The sequence below is a fragment of the Homo sapiens genome, chromosome 2 (genome assembly GCF_000001405.40).
Source record: "Homo sapiens chromosome 2, GRCh38.p14 Primary Assembly".
NCBI lineage: Eukaryota > Metazoa > Chordata > Mammalia > Primates > Hominidae > Homo > Homo sapiens.
The window spans coordinates 151269273-151289679 of NC_000002.12; the positions used below are offsets into that span (position 1 = coordinate 151269273).

Sequence of the window (20407 nt, forward strand, 5' to 3'; positions counted from 1 at the left end):
CTCCTGAGAGTAATGTAACTTTAAAAACTAAAAATAAAATATCAGAAGCAAAACTCGAGCTTTTCCTTTTGTTTGTTTTAGATGCCAGGCAGCATTCAATAGGTTTAGAACCTTTTCTAAAAGCCTTTCATTCTGCCAGCATTTTAATATGAATTTAATTCTGCTGCCAGTTCTTCATGAAACCTACCATGTCAGAATAGAAGTTGTCCAAAGGTTTTTTTTCTATTTTTCTTTTTTTTTTTTTTTTTTTGAGACAGAGTCTCACTGCAACACCCAGGCTGGAGTGCAATGGCACGATCTCAGCTCACTGCAACCTCCGCCTCCCAGGTTCAAGCAATTCTGCCTCAGCCTCCCAAGTAGCTGGGATTACAGGCGCCCACCACCATGCCCGGCTAATTTTTGTATTTTTAGTAGAGATAGGGTTTCACCATGTTGGCCAGGCTGGTTTCGAACTCCTGACCTCAAGTGATCCGCCCACCTCAGCCTCCCAAAGTGCTGGTGGCGTGAGCCACCGCAACCGGCCTAAAGGTTCTTTACCAAAAAGACTTTTACCTTCTCTGAATAGGAATCTTTAATTTTATCATTAAAGTTTCTGCAAGTTAAAAACAGTGAGATGCTAGTAAACTGGGTCTCTTTCCAACTAAACTTAAACCCTTGGAGGGCAGGTACTGTGTTTTTACCTCCAGTCATTCCCCAGCATCGAGCATGATAAGTGATGAGTCACTAACTTTGTATTTACCTCTCTCTCCATGCCAAGGTTTTCAAACTCTTATACCAATTGTTTCCATTGTAAGTGCAAAAGAAAGAAAAAGCTAGTCCTTTACGAGCTCTATTTGGAGAGGGGATGGCTTGGAAGGAATCAAGGGACACTTGGCACTTGGGTGAACAGAAATTCAAGAAAAAGATCACACTCAGCTCTGAGAACCTTTAGAGTTGTGGAGTGAAATGCTATGCACAGTGGTAAATGGTTGCTCTTGAAGTCCTTCGAATCTTCAGTTGAGTTTACAGGAATCACCAACTGCTGAATGTAACTGCCTTTGTTTTGGAAAATGTTAAGAGTCAAGTCTGCATATTGGTGGGCATGGGGCCACAACTGAATTGGCCCACAAGACCATAACAGGATGAGCCAGCACTGGCAGGGGACATCTGAATCACTTAAGGTTGATTTCAGCAGACATGGCACCAATACACATAATCTATAAACAAAACTTTTTATTACAGTGCACTTATTGTAGTTGAAAACATGCAGCACCATTTGAAACAAAGAAGATTCAGAAACATGGAAATAAGTTTTGTATCTAAACATAAATGGATGGTAAAAATTAAAGTTTTCATTTTTTAAGGAAAAGCATATTCATTTTTGTCAAACATTTACAGTAATCCGGGTTAAAAAGCTATAGTTTTCATGATTCTGTTAAGTCTATTCTTCAAAGTATGCTATGTGAGGTTGACCTAGAGAACACTTGACCACATCTACTTCTCCACCTCCATTCTTTGCCCGTTGAAAGTGAATGTTAATTAAATCCTCCACAATTTCTTCATCCATTTGAATGCCTTCCATTCCTGTCAGAAGCACTGTCCTCTTAGATGTTCCTGAAAATATCTAAGAAGGAAAAAATGATAAATAGAAAGATTTCTAAGAGCTTTGAATTACAAAACTTTACATTCATAATCTCTGCTTAATATTTTTTATTTTATCTTAGAAGAGACAAGAAATCTTAGGAAGATTTTCCAAGCAAGAGAATATCCAAGTCAGATCTGAGTTTTAGAAAGAGAACTCTGGTGGCATTATGGAACACAGAGGAAAGGAGGGATGCTCTGGGAACAGAAAGACCAGGTAAAGAGGTAGTCAGAAGTGGAGCTGGCAAGATTTAGTGACCAAATGAATGTTGGAGGTGAAGCAAACTGAAGAGTTAAGTATGAGTTCTAGCTTTTAAGTTGGTGGAGTAGGTAGATGGTGGTACCATTGGATACCTGAGAAGGAAGAGGAAAAGGGAGCAGGTCTGGGGTAAAGATAATGAGTTCAGAGAAAGTAGGCAGGAATTCTTTCTCATGCTCACTGACAGTAGACATATGAGAGAAATGCAACTATGTCTCCATGTACAAAAATAAAAATTGTGCCATTATCTGAGTAATTTCAGTTTTAAAAATTGTATAATAAAGTACAGTTTTGCATTAAAATGCTCCTTCAAAAGACAAACTCATTTTGCACCAAGCAAAAATGAAGTAAAGAAACCATTTTGCTATCCCTCATTGATAAGATGCATAAGTAACAGACTCACAACAACTTTATTTTTTGTGGGGTGGGTTTGGGCAGTGAGTTCTGAAAATGAGAGAACAGAGATGACTTTACCTGATACTTTTTCAAGTGTATTTCTGTGTATGGAGAAACAGTAACTCTATGGCAGGTTTGATTTATATAAAGAGGGTATTCTTTCTTTTTCAAAATCTTGTCAGCCACTAAAAGCAAAACAAAAACAATACTTGTCTTTTTTATATCATAAGCATTTTTAACCAAAGTTAAAACTTCCTTCAAAGAGAACACTATTACAGTAAATATTGAGTTAAAAGATTAATTTTTAAGAAATTCTAAAGCCCACTTTGAAGACTTCACAGTACATAATTTTGAAAACTACAAGACCAAACAATAATGAGGTTTAAAGCCTTCATTCCATCTTGAATTATTCACTGCAGTCAATCAATGCACAAAGGGTTGCAATGTCCTCAGACAGATCTACTTTGAGCTATAAAAAATACCATAGTCTTTTGCAGAAAGTAACCCACTCATCTAACAAGACTGGACTGTTTCCCAGTTTCTCAAAAGCTGTAAGTGAAAACTATGATTAGAATACTATATACATTTTTTTCAATATATTCAATAAACTGAAGTAATGATGTTAACCAAAGCAGGGAGGGGATTGAATGTCATCTAGAAAAACTGAAAGGAAATAAAAATTCATCAGTTTTCTACAACACAAAGAATAGTCTATTTTTTAGCAGTATTTTTTTCTCCTAGAGTGGTGAAAGGATGTGTGTCAAGACTGTAACATTTAACAAAAACAGTTCTTGGGAATATACAACCATGTTTTTTATGACTCTTCTCACTCATCTACCTTGGATCAGCAATATGGTACAATGATTAAGAGTGTAGGCCCTCATTGGCGAGAATATGGAGAAATTGAAACCCTGAGGCAATGCTGATAGAAATGTAAAATGGTACAGCCACTGTAGAAAACAGTATGACAGTTCCCCAAAATATTAAAATAGAACATGATATGATCCAGCAATTCAACTTCTGGGTATATACCCGAAACAACTGAAAGCAGGGACTCGGACAGATACTTGCTCGTTAATGCTCAGAGCAGTATTTTTCACAATAGGCAAAAGGTGGAAGCAACCCAAGCATCCACCAACAGATGAACAGATCAACAAAATGGATATATAAAATACACACACACACAGAGAATATTATTCAGCCTTTAAAAAGGATGAAATTCTGATACATACCACAACATGGATGGACCCTGATAACATTATGCTAACCAAAATAAGACAGACAGGAAAAGGACAAATATTGTATAATTCCACTTGAATGAGGTACCTAGAATAGGCAAATTCATAGAGACAGAAAGTAGAATGATGGTTACCAGGGGCTGGAAGAAGAGGTAATGGAGAATTATTGTTAAATGGGTACAGAGTTTCAGTTTGGGGTGATTAAAAAGTTCTAGAGATGGATAGTGGTGATGGTTGTACAACATTGTGAATGTACTTAGTACCCTTGAATTGTACATTTAAAAATTGTTAAAATGGTAAATTTTATGTTATATATATTTTATCACAGTTAAAAAAAAAAAAAAGAGTACAGGTCCTGAGTCAAATAGACCAGCTTCAGTCCTAGCTCTGCTACTTATGAGCTATGTGGCCTTGGATATGTTGCTTGACTTCTTAAAGCCTCAGTTTCTTTTTCTGTAAAATAAGCATAATTACAGTACCTACCCTGTAGATTATTGTGATGAGTCAGTAAGACACAGTTTATGAAGTATCTGGCATATTTATCTCCAGAATACCTTCACATCCTTCAGTAGTTACCTGCTGGATAACCTATAACCTGCAGAAGTATTTTTCCCATCTGGCTAGATGTAACCTCTAGGAGAACATCCCCAGATGGCCCAAGGACACAGGTTCCAAAGCTAGTATTATCTCTCACAGTAGAGTTATAAATTGCATTCTAGTTTATTTTATTTTATTTATTTTATTTCGGTTTTTTTGAGACCGAGTCTCACTCTGTCACCCAGGCTGGAGTGCAGTGATGCAATCTCAGCTCCCTGCAACCTCCACCCCCCAGGTTCAAGCAATTCTCCTGCCTCAGCCTCCCAAGTAGTTGGGACTATAGGCGTGAGCCAGCACATCCGCTAATTTTTGTATTTTTGGTGGAGAAGGGGTCTCGCGATGTTGGCCAGGCTGGTCTTGAACTCCTGGCCTCAAGTGATCCACCCGCCTCCGCCTCCCAAAGTGCTGGGATTATAGGCATGAGCCACTGCGCCTGGCCAGATTTTTTAAAATCCAAGATATAGACAAACTAACACCAAACAGGCTAAATGAATATATGAATTTGGCAAATTAAAATCTGGATGCTTGACTATGGAAGTTTCCACCAAGTTATTGTTCATTTCCAAGACAACATATTACTGTAGCCCTCAAGACCCCTTCCTTTTATAGCTCTCCCTGACACATCCCACCAGGATGTCCTAAACATCATCCAAAAGCTCAGGTCAAAAATGCATATTGGGCCAGGAGCGGCGGCTCATGCTTGTAATCCCAGCACTTTGGGAAGCCAAGGCGGGCGTATCACTTGAAGTCAGGAGTTCGAGACCAACCTGACCAACATGGTGAAACCCCGTCTCTACCAAAAATACAAAAATTAGTCAGGCATGGTGGCATGCACTTGTAATTCCAGCTACTCGGGAGGCTGAGGTGGGAGAATTGCTTGAACCCGGGAAGCGGAGGTTGCAGTGAGCTGAGATAGTGCCACTGCACTCCAGCCCGGGCGACAGAGCAAGACTCTGTCTCACAAAAAAAAAAAAAAAAAAAAAAAAAAAAAGGATATTGACATGTTTTAATGTGCCCAGAGAAAAGCCTGGAAAGACACCCAAATAACCATAACTAACTAAATAGTAGGAGAAAGGGAAGTTTGAGGAAATGTCTCTTTTTGTTTTTTTTTGAGACGGAGTCTCACTCTGTCGCCCAAGCTGGAGTGCAGTGGCGTAGTCTCGGCTCACTGCAACCTCCACCTCCTGGGTTCAAGCTATTCTCCTGCCTGAGCCCCCCGAGTAGCTGGGATTACAGGCATGCGCCACCACACCTGGCTAATTTTTTTGTATTTTTAGTAGAGACGGGGTTTCACCATGTTAGTCAGGCTGGTCTCGAACTCCTCACCTCATGATCTGCCTGCCTCGGCCTCCCAAAGTGCTGGGATTACAGGCATGAGCCACCGGGCCCGGCCGAAATGTCTCATTTTTACTAAATGTTTGCTCTTCTGTATTATTTCACCTTCCTTAAAAAAGCATGTATTACTTTGTCATGAAAAAATCTAATCCATCAATTTTTTTTTTTAATTTTGTTTTTTGAGACAGGGTCTCACTCTGTCTCCCAGGCTGTAGTGCAGTGGTGCAATCACAGGTCACTGCAGCCTCAACCTCCTGGCCTCAAGTAATCCTCCCACCTCAGCCTCCTGAGTAGCTGGGACCACAGGCACGCACCACTATGCCTGGTGATCTCAGCTCACTGCAACCTCCACCTCCTGGGTTCAAGTGATTCTCCCTGCCTCAGCCTCCCAAGTAGCTGGGATTACAGGCACTTGCCACCATGCCTGGCTAATTTTTGTATTTTTAGTAGAGATGGGGTTTCGCCATGTTGGACAGGCTGGTCTTGAACTCCTGACCTCAAGTGATCCGCCTGCCTCCGCCTCCCAAAGTGCTGGGATTACAGGGGTGAGCCACTGCACCCTGCCTATTTGTAGCAATATTATCTTTCCTAGTACTGTCCCTGGAAATAATTTCCTACACTCTACTATTTTATAAGGTTTTTTAAAATCCCCAATTATCATGCTAATACATTCCAAATAAAAGAAGTAGAATAGGAATACTTTCAGAAACAACAGAACATGACTGAAATGGCAGAGTGTCTGTTAACCTTCTACACCCTTGAGTACCTCCAATCTCCACAAACGTGATGACTGCACTCCCGGACTGTCTGTCATAGTCCACGCGGTCCACCTCTCCGCCTCCATTTCGGGACTTTGAAAAGCTCAGCTCTAGTTTGTCTCTCATTTGATCTTCACGCAATGTGTCAGGAATTTCAGTAACATTGATTTTCATTTTAGAAACTTCTACATAAACCTGGAAAATGATTTGATGTTCAGAAATATGGATGAGAGAAGTGCTTGTGATGAACAGAAATCCAAAAAATTTTAATCATCCTGTTACCTGGAATCTGACTCCTGAATTTAATGGAACTGGCTTGGCCGTAACCTCCAGATTTACATCTTTTATCTGTACATGATGTTTACTCATGCTTACCACATTTTGAGCAACTGAAAAATAATTCAGGAAGGAAGTATTAATTTCCAATATTTTAAGAATTGTTATGCTTTTGGTTTAAGAACAAATTATCCTGAATATTTTTAATTTTCTTTAATATTAAAGGGTCTAATTTTAAAAATTTGGCGGGCGGTGATTCCAAGTGATAATGGTCTTGCTACCAAAGTAGAATATATAATTTGGGGGGTCAGGGGGAAGGAGGACCAGATCTCATTCTGTCACTGAAGCTGGAATGCAGTGATGTGATCATAGCTCACTGTAACCTCAAACTCCTGGGCTCAAGAGATCCTCCCACCTCAGCTTCCAGAATAGCTATGATTACAGGTGCATGCCACCACGCCTAGCTAATTTTTTTAACTTTTTGTAGAGACGAGCTCTCACTTTGTTACCCAGGCTGCTCTGGAACTCCTGGACTCAAGCAATCCTCCTGCATCGGACTCCCAGACAAAGTTCTGGTATTATCAGGATGAGCCACTGCTCTTGGTCCCAAAGTAGAATATATTAATGTCAAAGTATATCAGCAAAATCACAATGTAGAAGTTCTCAAGTTCTAGATTCTTCTCATAAGATGAATCTTTTCTCTTATCTCTTAAGAGATAAGCCTAACAATCTTCCAGAATTCATATATTACTTCAGCTCAGCCACATACCCTTCCTTCCACTATTAACAATTACCAGAGGATTCCCCTAGTACATTAATGCACAGCCAGAAAGTGTCCCATGTTCAGTAAGCTGGGAAAACTTTCATGGCTAAGTGTCATTTGTACAATTAGTCTTGATTTTACTTAACCTTATCATTTGTTACTCCTTAATATGTTACAAGCACTAGAGCAATATATATTCATTTGCTCTGTCTTCTCAAGGATTACATGTTAAAGACTACATAGGCTGGAACATCAAAGAGTGAGTCTTTTTTTTGGTCATACTTAATGACGAATTCCACTTTTGCAAAAATGCTCTTGAAATCATTCTTTAAAAAGTTGATAGTCCTGCTATATTGATCACAAAGCTGTCAAGTCTAATTTACCTGTGCAAATGGGAGAGGTTTAGTAAAATGCTAAAAATCACTAGCACTCCAAAAGGCAACTCTATGTCAATTAAAAATGTGAGTGGGCATTTATTTTTAATTGTGTGGCATGAGTTTATAATACTGCAGTTGTTGATATTTGGGGCTGCTATTCCAATGTATCATGAAAATAAGTGACATTCACTCTCTGTCTTATAAAACTTCACATGTGTTTATGACAACCAGACCAGATGGCACCACACCACAGCTGGAGGAAGAGAAAAAAGGGCCAGAAGGCAGGGCCTTGGCCATGTGGGAATTCAACTCACTGTACCAAAATATGACTCTATAACTTGGATGATGGTTTTTTGTTTTTTTGTGTTTTTGTGTTTTTTTGCTAATGACAACAGACAATAACAGAAAATATCAATGAGTAATACTCAGATGATCCTCTTTCCCTCCCACTCTTCCACAAACCCCCAACATCTGGTGATCTGATACAGCTGAGAGGGACCGCTTGTGTCTCAATTGTTGTGACTCTGACAATCAAGAGCCAACTCCTACTTAATTGTGTTTCAAACCTACTGCTGTCCCAGGAGATTGGGAGCTCAGAGCCACGTCAAGCGTAGAAGCAATGATGTAGGTGCTTTTAGAGAATTCCATTTCCAACATTCCCAGGAAATTGCTGTGCAGAAATCCTGCCTCCCAAATCCTCATTTATATCTATCTTTTAGTTATATCCCGATTACCAGTCGCCAGTATGAGTCCTGGACTCCTCTTCTACCTGTAGCAGTAGCTCCAGGGTGAAGGAAAACACACTGGCGATGCATGTCTTCTACGCACAGATACTGTCCTGCTGGAATGCCTTTCAACATTTATTTTCAGGCTACAGTGGTGCACCAGTTTTGAGGAAACATGGGTTATAGACTGTCAGAATATGAGCACTGGAAGGGCTGGGAACACCATCTGGTCCCTCACCACATAACTTAAATAAAAGAACAAAGGCCTGGGCTGGTGGCCTACCGAGAGAAATATTGGCCCAGTGGAAGTACATGGACTCTCAGGGTTTGGCTCTAAGCTCTGCAACTAACCGTATAGACTTTAAGCAAGTTAATTATCTTCTTTAAGCTTCTGTATCCTTATCTGAAAAATTTCTAACATGTAGCAAAAACTAACATCCATTAAGTTTGTATTAAGTGTCCAACATTGTGCTAAGTATTTTATCAACATTTCTCATTTAATACTCAAAGCAGCCTCATGAAGTAGGTACTACCATGAAGCACCTGTATAAAACCCTGAGGTTTATAAAGAACCTATCCCAAATCATGCTTCTAGGAAGGGACAAGGCTGGCACTCAAAGCCAGATCCTCCCCACTCAGGAACCCCCAGCTCTGAACAGGGGCCCTCACCATGGCAGACTTAGCAAACATTAGGTTTCATTCCAAATCTCTAGCTCCCAGGCTCTTCTCATTCGTTGGCTATGTTCCCTTAGGTAAATCACTTAAACATCCTCAGAATCTGTTTTCTTGGCTCTGGCATGTCTATATTTAAAGTACACAATAATAACTATCCTATCCTCCTATATTTATGGAATTGTGTGAGTATAAAATGTGATAATGTCTCTGAGAACTGTACAGCTCTACTACCTTGAAATATTACTATCATTATTTGGAGGTAGCATGTGGAGTAGAAAGAGGCTGGTATTGGACATCATCATAGCACCTGGATTAAGTCCCACAGTCATGGCTTTCTGAATACAAGATCATATTCAAGGCACTTGTCTCAGAGTCAGTTTTCTCATCTGTAAAATGGGAATAATCATACCTGCCTCAGAACGTCACTATGAGGATAAGAAATAATATAAGTGAAGTAATATTAGCGAAGTAATAGCTAAATGTCTATGAAAGTGCTTTCCAAATAACATGGTCATATTTTTTAACATTAGTCATACCTTCTTCTTTTTCAAAGGTGATAAGTGCTTGTCCTTTTTGTATCTCATAAGGAACTTTCGAGCTCACTTGAAACGAACAGGAGATATTTGACAACTGGCTGTCATTCTCAGGAGTTTCAACTGATAAGAATTTCATCTTTGTTTCAGGAATATCCTCTTTAATCTAATCCAAATGAAAATGTTTGATTAAAATCAAGACGAGAAATAACTTAAGTCCTTCCAATGATAATGTAATTTGGTCATCCAATAATTCATTCCCCACTAATTTTAGAACCTTGTAGAATATTGAGTATGGTCTTATTTAACATTTTTAGTAATTGCTTTTTCCCATGTAAGTACTCAGTAATCAAATGCTGATCTTTTAATATCATTTCACAGATGAAATTAAAAATATATAATCCTCTCACTTTTTTCTAATCAATGTTTAAACTGTCAATATTGTATGGTGTTCAGTTCTAAAGCCTACATCATTCATGTGAATAAGGACTTTTTAAACAAGTGCCAATAATAGACTATCTCAAAAGGAAATCATTAGATAGTATGTTTAATTTTGCTGCAAAGTATGAAATATAGTGTTGGGTATAATATGGTATTTCAAATCCAGATAATTTCATCCAAAAAGAAAGACTCTAGAATTAGATAATTTTATTTATTTATTTATTTATTTTGAGACAGAGTCTCACTCTGTTGCCAGGCTGGAGTACAGTGGTGTGATCTCGGCTCACTGCAACCTCCACCTCCCGGGTTCAAACAATTCTCCTGCCTCAGTCTCCCGCGTAGCTGGAACTACAGGCATGCGCTACCACACCGAGCTAATTTCTGTATTTTGTATTTTTAGCAAAGACAGGGTTTCACCACGTTGGCCAGGATGGTCTCTTGACCTCATGATCTGCCTGCCTTGGTCTCCCAAAGCGCTGGGATTACAGGCGTGAGCCACCACACCTGGCCCAGAATTAGATGATGTTAAATTTATCAAATTTAAAAATTCCACCTTCCCCAACACCTGCCCATCAACTTTTTAACCATTACCACAACTTAGGTTTATAAAAAATGAGAAGGGACAGTATCAACAGAAATTGTAAGCTGAGGCTACACAGGTGGCTCACACTCGTAATCCCAGCACTTTGGGAGGCCAAAGCAGGCAGATCACCTGAGGTCAGGAGTTTGAGACCAGCCTGGCCAACATGGTAAAACCCATCTCTACTAAAAATACAAAAATTAGCTGGGCGTGGTGGCAAACGCCTGTAATCCTGGCTATTCAGGAGGCTGAGGCAGGAGAATCGCTTGAACCAGGGAGGCGGATGTTGTAGTGAACCGAGATCGCACCATTGCATTCCAGCCTGGGCAACAAGAACAAAACTCTGTTTCAAAAAAAAAAATTGTAACCTGAAAGATAAAGGTAGGTGGTTATACTTAGCTGCTTAGAATTATTGGGATTAACAGATTCATATAACTACACATAAATGCACAAATGAGATAGATGCTTGCATTTCTATTGCCCATGGTTATTTTACATGCTGAAAATAACACAGAGATTAGAAATATTCAGTGAGTCATTCAATTTAATCTTACATTTATTCTTTGCCTTTATGCATAACTCCAGTGGAACTTCTGATTACGGTAAGGCTGACATCAAAACAGTCTACAATGTCTGAGTAAAGGCAGAGTGTTACCCAATAATGCAGAAATACCCAGTATATGCTGAGGAGCAAGGGCTTTCTGAAATTAGAGTGAGAAAGCTTGATTCTATTTCTGACCACACTGCGACAGACAGCAAATTTACTTAAGCTCTCTGATCACAGGTTTGGTCCTCTGCAAAGTGGGTCGACTAGGGCTGGCCGGTTTCTAAAGGCTCTTTGAGTTATAAGACTGCATGATTCTAGCTCCAGTCTGAGAAGTAACCAGAATCTTAACAGAGTCTTCTGCACAAAGTCACCCATCTCATAAACACAGAAAACCTCACTTCCTGATATTCAATATCCTATCTCCCACTTCAGAAACAAGAAGTGTCAATGCTTTAATTTTTTTTTTTTTAGGCGGCGCCTCGCTCTGTCGCCCAGGCTGGAGCACAGTGGTGTGATCTCAGCTCATCGCGACCTCCGCCTCCCAGGTTCAAGCAATTCTCTGCCTCAGCCTCCCAAGTAGCTGGGATACAGGCACCCGCCACCATGCCTGGCTAATTTTTCTTTTTTAGTAGAGACAGGGTTTCACCATCTTAGCCAGGCTGGTCGTGAATTCCTGACCCCATGATCCACCCGCCTCAGCCTCCCAAAGTGCTGGGATTACAGGCATGAGCCACCGCGCCCAGCCTCAATGCTTTAATTTTTTAACATCTGAGTTGTTAAGAAAAAAAATGGGTGAAAATTATGTACAATTAAAATACAGGAAAATTTAGGAGAGAATTTAAATGGTGAGGATTAATATATGTCCAATTTTTTGAACCGTGAAACTCATCTAAATTACCAAAGCACCTTGGATGAGAAGAATTATAAAAGAACTCAGTGAGAAAAGCCAGAATTTGATCCAACAGTAATTTGCTAATGACCATCTTTTTTTGGTAAATTTTATTAATTTTTTGTTTTTGTAAATTTATTAAAGTGTACGTAAATAATAGAAAAATGCATGTATCATTAAGTACAGCAAGATGAAATTTTACAAAGCTAACACACGTGATTGGCACGCAGATGATAGGCAGGACATGACAACACCCCAGAAACCCCCTTGGGTTCCCTTCTGGGTCTTACCTGCTTCCAAAATAACCACTGTTTTAACTTCAAACATCCTGCTTTTGCTTAATTTAAAGGGAAGCATATGGTATGCCCTCTTCTGTCTTTTTTGTGTTAACATTGTGTTTATGAAACTCATTTGTGTTGCTGCATGTCATTATGATCTGTTCATTCTCATTGCTGTGTAGTTTTCTATCATATGACTATACCCCAATTCACTAATTCGTTCTACTATGAAGGAATCATTGGGTTGTTTTCCATTTTGAACTATTACAAATGGTGGTGCCATGGATGATGATAAGGTTTTAAAAATGAATTTTGTGTAATTAAAATGCTTTTTCCAAAAACCATGCATCCATCAAAAATGTAGTATATAAAATAATTAAGAGAGTACCTGGAATTCTTTGGTAGCCTCTTGTAACTCCGTTTCAAGCTTTTGGATCTCCTTCTTTAGTTGAATATTTTTCTTTGTAATTTCATCAATTAGTCCCTTAAAAATATCAAATGGTACCAAAGAAAGTAAATAGCCCCTGAACTCATTTTTCCGAATGAACTAAAGACTATAAATTTCTCTCATCCTGACCAAAGAAAGACATTAGACAGTCTCAGAATAAATATGACTATGTGAATAATGCATTTGTTGAATATTTTACATCATCACCTGTCTATTCTAACATTGCCAAGTAGTACTATCTCCATTATATAAATCAGGAAACCACCTTTTACACTAGACCGAAGTCACAGAAAGTTGTATAGTAAGGCAAAGATTGAGATCAGATCTTCTGAATATTACTTCAGTGCTGCATCAACTCCTTTCCTAGCTATTTGTGAGCATGATAAGACTTTTAAATTGCACTGTAATAGCGGACATATTCTGGGGCAGTTTGTTGTTGGTGTTGTTGTTGTTTTTGTTCTTAATTATCTGTGATTCCCATAGTATCGCATAGTACACAGTTACCTTAATGAGCCAGACATATGACCTTGGGGAAGTGGTTTAAGCTACCTGGGCCTCCGTTCCCTCTTGGGGTCTAATGAGATAATTGCTGACTATGCTCTTAACTTGTTGATGCAAATCCAAGAAATGAGGGTGTGAGTGAGAAAGCAGCTAGTGTTGTAAGCCTTATAAGAGAAAGAATAAAAATATGACACTTCTTGTAAGGCTTAAATAACATAATGGAAGTTAAAAATTTTTTTAAAGCCTAACGGCCTCCCAAATTCAAGGTAATGTTGGACAAAGACATACAAAACATGCCTTACTGCAAAACTAATAGATATAAAATAATTTTTAATAATACCCAGTAATTTCCTTTTTACCTTATTTTGTTCATCTTTTATAAATTCATCTGGCGAATGCTCCTTAAGAATTTGTTGTGTGTCATCTTTATCAGCTTCCATGATCCCCTAATATTATAAAAAATAAATATTATAAGCATAGCATATATACACAAATTTAAGAACAAAGAAATAAGAACTTTTACCCTTTTATGGAAGAAACATCTCTTCTTTGCTATATCTTTTTTTCCCATCATCAAAGGCTTTATTATCATATGGCTTATATCCAAACAAAGTCTGTATTTTAATAACTCCTTTTTTTTTTCTTTTTTTGAGACAGAGTCTCTCTCTGTCGCCCAGGCTGGAGGGCAATGGTGCGATCTTGGCTCACTGCAACCTCTGCCTCCCAGGTTCAAGTGATTCCCCTGTCTCAAGCCTCCCAAGTAGTTGGGATTACAGGTACCTGCCACCATGCCCGGCTAATTTTTGTATTTTTAGTAGAGATGGGGTTTCACCATGTCGGTCAGGCTGGTCTTGAACTCTTGTCAAGTGATGCACCCCCCTCGGCCTCCCAAAGTGCTGGGATTACAGGCGTGAGCCACAGCACCTGGCCAATATTTCAAATAACTTTCACACCTATAATATATAAAAAGATTCTAAAAATCCTTTGCTTTTCAACAAAATAATATATAGAAAGTAATGAACATTAATGTTCCTTTGTAGTTCACATTCCAACCATAATATCATGCTCCATTTTAAATGAATACTATTTTGGTTTTCCAACGTTTTTCAAAGTTTTTGATTAAAATATTTAATTCTCCCTATTGTTCTCCCCAAATGTAAACAAAGTCAAGAGGCCTCCAACATATGCTTTCTCTACGCAGGTGTTCTTACCTGAAGCTTTCACTAACTCTCCTGCTGGGTCCATAAACATGGATTGGGAAGAAATTATATGTTTATTTCTAATAACCTCTAATTGAAGCTTAGCATTCTCTTCAATTATGAATATGGTAACAAACTACAGTAGTATTCACAGCACCTGTGATAGTCACCAATAGAAAGCACAGATAGTTTCATAGAATATTGTTGCAGATATGCTAAAATAGTTTGTGTTTAACATTGCTTCTACATTAGTTACTAACCTCACCACTAGGTCTTGTAATATATTGTAATACATTGATATATATCACTATATCAAACATTTGCTTTTTAAATATTCTGATAACCATATTTCAATACAATTGATTTCTGGCCGGGCGCGGTGGCTCATGTCTGTAATCCCAGCACTTTGGGAGGCCAAGGCGGGTGGATCACAAGGTTAAGAGTTTGAGACCAGCCTGGCCAACATGGTGAAACCCCGTCTCTACTAAAAATACAAAAAAAATTAGCTGGGCGTGGTGCCAGGTGCCTATAATCCCAGTCATATTTCAATACAATTGATTTACTTTGTAATTCTATGTATTTTATTTTATGCATTTAATTTTTTTTTTAGATAGGGTCTCACTTTGTTGCCCAGGCTGGAGTGCAGTGGGGCATGAACACGGCTCACTGCAGCCTCAACATCCCTGACTCAAGTGATCCTCCCACCTCAGCCCCCCAAGTAGTTGGGACTACAGGTATGTGCCACCATGCCCAGCTAATTTTTGTATTTTTTGTAGAGATGTGTTTTCGCCAAGTTGCCTAGACTGTCTCGAACTCCTGGGCTCAAACAATCCGCCCCCCTTGGACTCCCAAAGTGCTGGGATAAGCCACCATGCCTGTCCCCACAGGCATTGACTAAATGTTTTTTTTTTGGAGAAAGGCCCATAGGATTTGCCAAGCTGGCAAAGGAATCCATGGTACACAAAATTTAAGAACTCTTGCCTACATATGAATTTACTGAGATGAAAAACTCTCAGATCAAAAATGGGACAAAGGATATCATGATTCTATGTTTTTAGATACACATTAATAAACAGTCTGCCATATAATTTTCCAAGATTTCAAGTGGCTAAATTCTCAATATTCTTGAAAAAGAAATAAAAGACATCTATTCCTCCTTAAAAATAAAATAGAAGACTAGCAAAAACTTAGCTATGTCTTAGTTTAATGAACACAGGAGTGTCAAAAAAAGAGGAGAGTCGCATAACACCCAGATCTTGGTTTCTAATAATATTCTTCAATAAAAGAAACCAGGGCTCATTGGAGCAATGGCTGATTCTAGGTCTGGGGTATAAAATATACAAAATAAGCCTGGAATATCTTGTAGTGCCAGAAAAGTAAAAAGCACTAAAACACATGCACAAACACATACAATATGATGGGAGTATGTGAAAGGGACATGGGGACCCAACTGAAAGGGCTCCAGTGGCCAAAAGTACATACACAGAATTGATCAAGTAAGTAAATATATGGAGGATAATAGGAGCCAAGTTTTTCACCGTCAGAGAAGATAATTATAAATATGGAAATGGAGAAAACAAGAATAAATACTGTTGATTGGAACTAGATTTCAATGTAATCCTGCAGCTGTGGTTTCTGATTGATGATTGAGATAGATAGATAGATAGATAGATAGATAGATAGATAGATAGATAGATAAATAGACAGACAGATAGAAATACCTATGTGTGATTACCCAGGCATGGTGGCATGCACCTGTAATCCTAGCTACTCGGGAGGCTGAGGCAGGAGAATCGCTTGAAGCCGGGAGGCAGAGGTTGCAGTGAGTCAAGACTGCGTCACAGCACTCCAGCCTGAGCGACAGAGTGAGACTCCATCTCAGAAAAAAAAAAAAAAAAAGCAATGCCTATGTGTGTATCTTGTGTATATACAAATACATATATACCCTAGCTCTGTCTGCTGAGAAGGCCTGGGAGAGCAGATACAACCACAATGAGCAATGAGCACACTCAGCACCCAGACTTTGGTTTCTAATACTATTCTCCACCAAAAGGAACCAGGACTCTTTAGAGAAATGGTTGATCCCAAAACCAGGATAGAAAAACTGCAAGATGAGCCTGGGACATCTTATGATGCCAAAAAGCAAGGAAATGCTTAAAGAATGATGATGACATGTTGAAACGACACAGAATCCACCTTGAGATGGTTTTCGGTGGCCAAATCTGGGGATAAATTAAAGATTAAAATACATAATGGTAGTAATGATTAAATCTGTTGATTAAAGTAAAAAACTGAGTCCAGATAAATTAGAAATTTTGATGAAGAAAGGAATTTTTAGTTAGCTTCAAAATAGTTCCCCACAAAATGTTTATTAATTTCAAAGAAGAAAAGAGTAACTTTATACTGGAGAAGTCTGGCAGACATCAACATAATGAGATAATCAAAGTAAATAATGGAATAAATCAAAATAATGTAACATATTACAAGGTGCACTGAGAACACAATGTAACTTCGACGACAGTCCTGCCAAAGATGCATAATCTGAATCTAAGCATGAGGAAACATCAGACAAACTCAAATTGAGGGGTTCTACAATACAACTGCCCTGTTCTCTTCAAAAGTTTCAAGTTCAGAAGGCCAAGGAAAGACTAAGAAATGTCCATACTGAAGGAGACTAAAGAGACCTCACAACTAAGTAGAAAGCATGATCCTCAACTGGATCCTTTTGCTATCACTGGGGCTCAGAAACTGATACCCGGAAGTATGGCATTTTGACATGGTGAACTGAAGATGGCTCAAGGTCTCTCTGACCTCCCCCTCCTCCTCCTCTGTCTCTCCCAAAGCACAGGATGAAGGTGCACTGATGTTCTCCTATCTGCCTAAATGTGGGACCTGCCAGAAAACAGAACAATTACCTCTAGTCCCTTCCCTGAGTTTTTAATTCTGAATTCATATCACAGAAAGAAGACTGAAGTCTGTCAACAAACCTGGGTTACAACCACTGTCTGTTCTGCAAGCCCAACAGGCTTTGTCCAAGGCCATTGTATGTTCTTCGAGTCCCTTGAATTCCTTTAAAAATCATTTACTAACCCCCTATAATCATCCACACTTCCACATCTCCCTTTCCCCTAAAAAGTAGGGAATATAACCATCTGTACCCCATTGTGCAGTATCATCACTATGTGATTTTTTTCCCCTGTGCACATTAATAAATTTGTATGCCATTTCTCCTTTTTAATCTGCCTTTGCCCTTCAGAGAGCAAAGAGGAAGTTTTCCCTTGACCCCTACACTATCCAAGACACTATCAGGACAACTGGTGAAATTCACATTGGATCTGATTATTAAATTGTAGTAACGTAGCACTCCACATTCCTGATTTTGATGACTGTATTGTGGTTATGTCGGAGCACATCTTTTTTGTAGGAAATATATACTCAAGTATATAATGAAAGATGATAGGTCACCAGATTGGAAATTTATTCTTAAATAATTTAGGAAAAGGAAAAGTTGTTTTACTGTACTTGCAACTTTTCTGTAAGTTTGAGATGCCTTGAGACGATATATATATATAAGTATATATATATTTAAACCACATCTCTCTCTCTCTCTCTCACACACATACACACACACACACACACACGCATACATATATACATATATATCGCTATTGTATCAACAACTGCAAAATCTTCTTAATGGTCAGCCATGGTCTGATACATTCTAACTCCAACTCACTTTCCCGTCCTATTTAGTCAATTCCTCAACCCAGTTCCCTAACCACACTGAACACTTGGATAGTTCCTTTTCTTTCCTCTGTCCCTCAAACTGTCACATCCTTCCTCCTCTCCCAAACTTAATCTCCATCTAATGAAATCTTACTGTTCTTCAAGGTCCATTCCAAATTTTCCCCAAGCTCCCGAAGCCTTTTCTGATTCCCCCAAAGGATGTTACTCCCCCTCCTTTATCTCCTTTGCGGCGCTTTAATTACGTGTGTACCTATGTCATTTTCCGTGACACATCAGTAAACATGTTGAGGGCTGGGACCATGTCTACTCCTCCCTGCAGACATTCAGAGCACTTTCTCAGTATAAGCTTACACACTGAAAACACTCCATTTAGAGAATTATGTGGTATCTTGACTTAAGTATTTGTTGTACTCAGGACATCACATGTATATGAAGTCCTCTTATTACATTTCAGAAGACAGAAACTGCAATGTTATTTAATTGCTTTTTATTTTTATTATTGTGACAATGCCAATATTCCAAGAGCCTGTAATAAAGGCTCTCAGCATAAATGGTCTACTATCTAACACCACCAGAACCCTTTTGGCATCTTTTGCATCTGGATACTTTTGCTCTATGCATGAGTGGGATGTATGGTCATTCCTTTTATGCAATCATGTAGTAGGCAAAACAATGGCTCCCTCAAAGATGTCCACATCTTAATCCCAAGAATCTGTGATTATGTTAGTTTATATTGCAAAGGAGAATTAAGGCTGCAGATTGAATTAAGGTTGCTAATCAGCTTGCTTTTAAATATGGAGAGCATCCTGGATTATCTGTGGGAGCCCAGTGTAATCATGAGGCTACTTAAAAGTGAAAGCGGAAGACAGAAGAAGAGTCAAGAGTGAAATGTGACCCCGGAAGAACTTTCAGAGGCGCAATGTTGCTGGCCCTGAAGATGGAGGAAGGGCTGCTGAGCCAAATAAGGTAGGTGGCCTCCGGAAGATGGAAAGAGGATTCACCCCAAGAGCTTCCAGAAAGGAAGGCAACCCTGCCAACACTTTGATTTTAACCCAGTGAGACCTCAGTAGGACTGCTACAGAATCCTAAGATAGTAAATTGTGTATGTGAGTGTGTGTGTGTGTGTGTGTGTGCGCGCGCGCGCGCGTTCCTATGTGTTTAAGCCACTAAAGCCATGTAATTTGTTATGGCAGCGAATTAAAAAAACTGATACAAATCAACATCACCGTATTTCCGTAATACAATCATATAACTGCGGTGCCAGGCCGTGTAGAATCGAATCTTCCTATATGCATGCGTGGCAGCAAAAAGAAAGGCAATAGAACGTCTGCCTGTTGTACAGACTGGAAACACAGTATTCTCCTTCGGATGTCTCCTTCAAGAAAAACCTTGCCTATTCTGACACGCCAGCCATGACTGCACAACACTGCCCCTACCAAGAATCGTTTTCTTAAGAAATCCGTTTTCCTAAGGACTATCTCCAGAGACACTCGGAGAAAACAGCGAGGGCCGGGCGCGGTGGCTCACGCCTGTAATCCCAGCACTTTGGGAGGCCGAGGCGTGCGGATCACGAGGTCAGGAGATCGTATCCATCCTGGTTAACACGGTGAAACCCCGTCTCTACTAAAAATACAAAAAAAAAAATTAGCCAGGCGTGGTGGCGGGCGCCTGTAGTCCCAGCTACTCTACTCGGGAGGCTGAGGCTGGAGAATGGCGTGAACCCGGGAGGCGGAGCTTGCAGTGAGCCGAGATCGCGCCACTGCACTCCAGCCTGAGCGACAGAGCGAGACTCCGTCTCAAAAAAAAAAAAAAAAAAAAAAAAGAGAGAAAACAGCGAGGAAACACAAATAACTTTATGTTTCAATTTCCTCAATGAAGCAAAGCAAACAAGTGACAAGGCTCGAAGCCCTGACGGCCCAGAGACTGCACAGCGGGCCCAGGAGCAGGTGCGCCCCCTCGAAGGCGGCGTGGCCTCCGCGACTCGGCTGCGGGCAGCTCCCGGGGAGCAGGGTCTCAACTCCGGCGCTGTCCCACTTCCGTCGGCGCTGAGGGCTCCCACCTCCCTTTCCACCCCCGGCTCTCCAGCCCGGGACTGCCAGCGGCGGGAGTGGCAGCCGGGGAAGGGACTCCCCACTCACCCGCGTCCGCCCGCCGAGCGCAGCTCCCCAAGGCCCAGCGCGCCTGCCCTTCCCGGAAAACAGCAGCGCCTGAAACGCCGGAACCCC

The 20407-nt window shown here is 39.9% G+C and overlaps 1 protein-coding gene across 3 annotated transcripts, besides 4 other annotated features; it reads right to left on the bottom strand.

The window, feature by feature from the left end:
- Nucleotides 1-1197: 1197 nt before the first annotated feature.
- Nucleotides 1198-20396, bottom strand: NMI (N-myc and STAT interactor). Of its 3 annotated transcripts, none has more exons than NM_004688.3 (8): nucleotides 20321-20396; nucleotides 13596-13682; nucleotides 12676-12771; nucleotides 9556-9718; nucleotides 6486-6592; nucleotides 6212-6398; nucleotides 2354-2460; nucleotides 1198-1603 (listed from the first exon to the last, which is right to left on the bottom strand). In NM_004688.3, exons 2-8 carry the CDS (start codon nucleotides 13674-13676, stop codon nucleotides 1421-1423), a joined length of 924 nt encoding a protein of 307 aa, NP_004679.2. In that variant the 5' UTR covers nucleotides 13677-13682; nucleotides 20321-20396; the 3' UTR covers nucleotides 1198-1420. The 3 variants fall into 3 exon arrangements, with proteins under 3 accessions (NP_004679.2, XP_005246998.1, XP_047302226.1); XM_005246941.3 differs by having other exon boundaries at nucleotides 19619-20396; XM_047446270.1 differs by lacking the exon at nucleotides 20321-20396 and adding an exon at nucleotides 13760-15018.
- Nucleotides 18945-19114: an enhancer, noted in NCBI's record as "active region_16630". NCBI's record gives its function as "activates an Ori minimal core promoter by ATAC-STARR-seq in GM12878 lymphoblastoid cells {active_cell/tissue: GM12878}" and the evidence as "EXISTENCE:reporter gene assay evidence [ECO:0000049][PMID:35858748]".
- Nucleotides 19915-19964: an enhancer, noted in NCBI's record as "active region_16631". NCBI's record gives its function as "activates an Ori minimal core promoter by ATAC-STARR-seq in GM12878 lymphoblastoid cells {active_cell/tissue: GM12878}" and the evidence as "EXISTENCE:reporter gene assay evidence [ECO:0000049][PMID:35858748]".
- Nucleotides 19985-20034: an enhancer, noted in NCBI's record as "active region_16632". NCBI's record gives its function as "activates an Ori minimal core promoter by ATAC-STARR-seq in GM12878 lymphoblastoid cells {active_cell/tissue: GM12878}" and the evidence as "EXISTENCE:reporter gene assay evidence [ECO:0000049][PMID:35858748]".
- Nucleotides 20165-20364: a silencer, noted in NCBI's record as "silent region_12006". NCBI's record gives its function as "represses an Ori minimal core promoter by ATAC-STARR-seq in GM12878 lymphoblastoid cells {active_cell/tissue: GM12878}" and the evidence as "EXISTENCE:reporter gene assay evidence [ECO:0000049][PMID:35858748]".

Coding starts and splice junctions, on each gene's coding strand:
- NMI (XM_047446270.1), bottom strand. CDS start 14,026: ATGGTGGCAGGTACCTGTAATCCCAACTACTTGGGAGGCTTGAGACAG. Junction 12,772..13,595: donor TAAAAGATGAACAAAATAAG/GTAAAAAGGAAA, acceptor GATATTTTTAAG/GGACTAATTGATGAAATTAC. Junction 6,399..6,485: donor ATTCAGGAGTCAGATTCCAG/GTAACAGGATGA, acceptor ATCATTTTCCAG/GTTTATGTAGAAGTTTCTAA.